The sequence below is a fragment of the Homo sapiens genome, chromosome 1, assembly GCF_000001405.40.
Source record: "Homo sapiens chromosome 1, GRCh38.p14 Primary Assembly".
Lineage (NCBI taxonomy): Eukaryota > Metazoa > Chordata > Mammalia > Primates > Hominidae > Homo > Homo sapiens.
The window spans coordinates 56,193,830-56,199,803 of record NC_000001.11 but is presented as its reverse complement, the minus strand read 5'-3'; the positions used below and the strand labels follow the sequence as shown (position 1 = coordinate 56,199,803).

Sequence of the window (5,974 nt, the reverse complement as noted above, 5' to 3'; positions counted from 1 at the left end):
CCTCTGGCTATCTCAGGTAAGTTTCCTTCTAGTTGATGGGCTGACATTCTCTGGACCTGTCCAGACTTTCCTATGAGAGGAAACAATTTGTTCTTTCATTCTACACATGTATCAAGTACCTAATGTATAGGAACTGTTCTAGCTGAATATGGTTCCTGCCTTCATGAAGCTTATAGCTAAGTAAAGAAAATAGGAATTGAAAAAGTTATTGTAAGTATGGTGAGTATTATTAAATAGGAAAAATAAAGATGCTGTAGAGACAGATAACAGTGGAACCCCTAACTTAGGTAGGGTGTCAGGGAAGCCCACCTTGAGAAACTGGCATTTATCTGAGACTTAAAGATAAATTGGAGTCAAAGAGCAGTAGGGAGCAGCATATGGGAAGATCTGTGGCCTCGACTGTACCTAGAAATGACCCCCTTTCTTCTTGCAATCACTCAGAACAGAAAGCCTCAGGGCATCCCCTGGAAAGTCTATTGATATCAAGTTGCAGCTAAATTTGGACTGGCTGGCGGCAGCACAGTGCAGTGGCATGAACACTGAACAATCAATCATACAGTTCTACCTCTGTCACTGTGGGCTGTGGGATATTTGGTAAGTTGCTTACCAAATAAATTGCTGATGCATAATTTCCACATCTGTAAAACACAAATGATAATGCTTCAGGGTCATTGTGAATGACTTATGAAATAATGAACATGAAAGCACTTTGCAAACTGCCAACCATATGAATTAAAGGGAGGAGGTTGGTTGTAGGGTGTCTAATCCAGCCTACTGAGATGGAACAAGGAGCAGAAAATGCAGATCCTATTGGGAGCCAATTCTTTCAATGTTTTATGCCATCTTAGAACTTTAGGAGTTTCATGTATGTTATGAATACATATGCTTCATATATGTTATTTAGAGCAGTAAGAGCTATTTTTAAAATTTTATCTACACAGCCATGTTGTCCCAAAGGAGACAGCCCTCTTTTTAAGTGATATCACTGAAATTCCAGTTGCCTGGCTTAATGGAACCTAGTATCTTTGTAAGTCTCTGGGACTGGAATGGTTGTGTCCTGCCCTGTGTTATATGACATCATGGGTGGATTGTTTGTGCCACTCTTTTGCCAACAAAAGTCAACAACTTTCTATAGACTCAATGGCCAATTATAGGCTGGCAGAGAACAGCTGGCTTGGTCTTTACAGAAATTGCTTTGCATTTTGAGTAACAAAACTATGCAATTGGCACTAGTATGGAGCCAAGAGCACCAAGCACCACATGGGCTCTGGAATGACTGTAGGCTTCTGGGAGGTATCGAGCATTAGCACCATAGACATCAGCCATATTTTTAGTGTGATGACATGGCAGAGAGATTCATGGCCTAATCTCTGGATGCCCACCAGTTACTTTCTTTGGACCATTTATAAATGAAACTCAGAAAAATTAACACTCACAGTGCTCTTTTGCCAGTTAATCATTGGTCACTCCTAGCTTGAGGTACAATTGCTCTTTTAGTTGCTAGTAAGCAAAGGTGGCACAGGGAGCCCAGCCACTGAATGGACCTCAGGCAATAGAGAATGTCTGGGGATGACTGTTTTCTCTGCAATCTGATTGCTTAATAGTGCATACATACAGGTATGTTATGAAGGTTAAATTTTTCCTACAGGTAATGCACCAGCATGGTGCCCAGACACGATAAATGCTCTGCATACGTTACTTATGACTATCATCAATTGGGCATGGGAAATATGGTCTAAACCTTTAGAACAGCATCCTTCTCTTTGTGTTTCACACAGTGTTTCCTCATAGCCCCTTTGGATTGATTGAGCACCAGAACTGCTTTCCTAGTTATGAAGGCCAAATCCCAAGAGAAGAAAGGGCATTAGGGACAGGCCATCCTTGGAATTTGAAATGGCAAATGACCAAATGCCCAGCTTTTGCATGTGTGTATGTGTGCATTGTGTGATTTGTGTGTGTGGTATGTTTTGTATGTGTGTATTGTGGTGTATGTGGTGGTGTGTGTTTGGTGCAGTGTGTAGGTAATGTGTGTAGTATGGTGTGTTTTGTGTATGTGCTATGTGTGTATGTATACCACACATTTGAAATGGGACTTTTCCACTGACAATCTCTAAAGGCCATTCTGCCTATGAATTCTGTTAGCATGGTACTAGCACTAAAAGAGCTTAGAGAAGGGAGAGGCTGACAAGGAGGAGAAAGAATTTGTGGTCTCCAACCAGTCCAGGACCAATTCCCATTTAGTATCTGCTATATTATATAATTTAACCTCACAATTATCCTGTGAGATACAGGTTAGTACTCCTGTTTTATAATGGGAACACTGAGGACAGGAGGTGAAACAATTGTCCAAGGTAATATGACTAGTAGGAGATAGGGCCAGGTACTGACCTGGTGATGCAAAGTCAACCAATCTGAGGGAATAACAAGTCCAGGCAACAGGATGATTAGAGCTTAGGGGACTATAGCCACAGGATGTGGACAGTGAAATTTAAAAACTAGTGTTAGACCCTGGAGACTCTACTGGAGGTCTTAAGGGAGCAATTTTCTTCAAAGGCCTCTTATTTTGGTCTTCTGAGAAAACTAAGAGGGAATAATAGAGAAATCAGTCCCCAGAAACAGACCATTCCTGATACTCTGTATTCAACAGCAAGAGGCTGGGCCAAGTCAAGAATATTTGTGATTAAATTCCCTTGGGGTCACTTTCCAAGGACAAGTTTTAGATTCTATGTTGGACAAGAGTTGGGCCTTTTTTTTCTTTATTGTTGCGCCTAGACTTTGATTGCTATCTGCAAGGGAAACAGACAGTGGAAACTATTTCATGGGGACTGATGAGAAAAACACATTTTTACAGTGCCCTGAATAGCAATGCATGGTGTTTGAAGTCATTATCATAATAATGGGTAAGGTGGAAGGAAGAAAAGACACCACAACTGACTTTAAAAAAAAGAGAGCGAGAGAAAAAGAAAGAGAGGAGGGAGAAGAAAGGAGAGGGGGAGAGAGAGAGAGAGAGAGAGAGAGAGAGAAATAATTATAAAAGTCAGACTGGGAGTTGATTGCTGGTAAGAAATTTCCACTGAACATTAAGCTCTTCCTGATCTTTCTTCCTGCCTCCTGGCTGGGCTGTATGATGGAAGAAAATATATGTGATTAGGTGTCTCCTGGATGCAGCATAATCAGGGCCTGCCAGGGAGTGCCTCATCAGTTCCTTTATTTCTTTATTCTTCATTCACTAATTCATTTTATTATTTCTTCATTCATGCACACATTCTTTGGACACTTCCTAAGTGTCAGGCTAGGAACTTAGTATTAAGACAGCAAAGATGAGTCAATAAGACAAAGCTTCCCAGTCTAATGAAGAAGAATAAATGTAGATAATTATAGCCTGTGTGATAATGCTAGAGTAAAGGTAGAGAGAAATAGTAGGAAGGAAGTAGAGAACAGAGTCTCTAATTTTCACTTTGTCATACCTGTTTTGTGCTAGGAATATAGAACAAACAGAATGTTCCCTGCCTTTTCCAGACCTCACAGTCTAGTGGAAAAATGGCCATTCTGGAAGGAATTTTTTATTTTTATTTTTTTTGAGACAGGTTCTCACTCTGTCACCCAGGCTGGAGTGTAGTGGTATGATCTCATCCTACTGCAGACTTGACTTCCCAGGCTCAAGTGATCCTCCCACCTTGGCCTCCTGAGAAGCTGGGACCAGAGACATGGGCCATGGGCTCAAGCAATCTTCCCATCTCGGCTTCCCAAAGTGCTGGGATTATAGGTGTGAGTCACCACACCTGGCTCTAGAAGGAACTTGAATCAACAACCCTAAACCCATGGAAAATAAAATATTAGCTACTGGCAGGCTCAATGAGTGAGAGATATAAGAAGACAAAATTTTCTAGCCCTCAGCATTCAAGGAGAGTTCAATAAAAAGCTGAGAGACTTACAGTGGCTGAACTTGGTGTCTCTTGATTCAAGGTCTCTTGATCCACTGGGTAGATGGTATTGTTCTTTATGGAGGTGGAGAACATTGAAGGGAAAAATTTGTGGGAAAAAATGTTAATCTCCATTTTGGACACACCTGGCTTGAGATGGATATAGCACATCCAAGTAAAGATGTGAAGATGACAGTTGTATATATGAGGCAGTAAGTCAGAAGAAAATGTAGTTTGGAAATATAAATTTGGGAGTTGTTATTCCCAACTTTGGGAGATCATTGAAAACAAGAACTCTGATGAAATAATCTCGACAGCGGTCATATGGGTAGTCAAAGAGGTTTGTAGATAACTCCCTAGAACTTGAGGACAGTAGAATCACAAGAACTCTGGCTGAAGTGGTTATTTAAAGAATCCAGCAATTTATTTGGTGCAACTATATGCATCAGTTCTGTACTCAAGAGGGACCATTTGGTCATCCAACTCAATTCCTACTCAATGCAATAATCCTAGGATGGGGGACACCCAGACCGTAGAAATTTAGGACATGCTCAGGGTTTCCTGAGAGCTTATAGCAGAGGTGAGACTGCCATCTTGTACCCTCTCTCCCATCTTGAGTGGGCTTTGTCCATCTGTTGGCCAAACATTTCCCTATTTCTAAGGAAAGAGTCTGGGAGATGTATGAATTAGAACTTTTTACAAGTCAGTCTGCTATTGCAACATAACTTAACTCTATTGCAACTTAACTCTCATGAGTTAAGTGCAAATGAATCAGAACCAGATGGACAAATTTTTTGAAAACAATGTGTTTAAAAGTGGAGGAGAAAGAAGAAAATTGTTGGCAAAACTCTCAAAGATCTGTGGCTACATCTTATGTGAAACACTTTGCCCTGCTTTTAGCTATTTCCATCACGGGAGAAAATGACATCTCAGAACTCCAGGGGAAGTAGGGTGGTGAGAGTAGGGATGGTACCCACCATCCTATAACTAGTGTGACTTTCTTTATTCCTGTTTTCTCTGAGGTCATTTTTGGCAGGCAAATGAAGTTTGGATGAATAAAGCCATCATAAGGAATCAATTCTGTAGAAAAATCCAGGCATAAACTTTTAACATGCATTTCTCTTTGACTATTATAAGATTCAAATTTTCAGATTCAACTAAGGTCTCTTGAGTCCTTATTAAAAGCAAAATTTTGTGCTAAGCACTTGCATGGCTCTTCCCTCTCTTTGTCAATCCAATGAAGTTGCAAGGTGACAGGATTATGAACATTTCACAGATGAGTGATCTCAGGCTCTGAGAAATAAAGGGACTTGTTCAAGGTCACACAGCTAGAAAGCAGTAGAGCTAGCTATGCTATCCAACACAGTAGCCACTAGTCACATGGTGCTAAACAAATTTAGATTAATTAACTCTAAACAAAATTAAAAACTCAGTTGCTCAGTTGCACTAGTTACGTTTCAAGAGTCCTACTGTCACACATGGCTATTGCTATTCTATTGAAAAGTGCAGCTAGAGAACATGTCCATTATTATAGAAAGTTCTACTGTACAGTGCTGCTATAGAGCCTGGGTTTCAACTATTATCTTTATGACAAATTCTGTGCTCCTTCCATTATACTAACCTGAGTTGTCTCACATAATGCAAGCCTCTAAAAAGGAAGACAACTTCTCCTGAACACAACTAGAAACTTTCTCCTCACCCTGGTTAGAGTATGCCCGGAGACTCAGGCTGATTCTTTATGAAGTCTGCTTTGTCCTTTATGAGGCCACTGTAGAACAGCTATGGACTAGGACTCACATGGAAAGGGAGGAGAGGGAATGGGTTGGCTATACTGCTCCCCCACTGGGCTCACCTACATTTCAGGGGTATCCTGGGACTGAGGCAGAGGCTTTCACCTGGGGCAATATTAACACTCAGCAAAATTAGGAAGGAGGATGAAGGAATCAGCATGGTGGAGTGGAAATATGGTGCACATTTAGTCAAAAAGATTTGGATCTGAATTCATAGCCGTGTGGCCTGGGGCAAGTTGTGAAGAGGGGATGGTGCCATCT

At 40.9% G+C, this 5,974-nt stretch overlaps 1 long non-coding RNA gene across 1 annotated transcript; it reads right to left on the bottom strand.

Moving 5' to 3' along the window:
- LOC124904190 (uncharacterized) lies at window positions 1-5,677 on the bottom strand. The gene is made up of 3 exons (XR_007066111.1): window positions 5,545-5,677; window positions 3,936-3,998; window positions 1-70 (listed from the first exon to the last, which is right to left on the bottom strand). It is a non-coding gene; the product is annotated as an uncharacterized LOC124904190 (long non-coding RNA).
- Window positions 5,678-5,974: the final 297 nt, after the last annotated feature.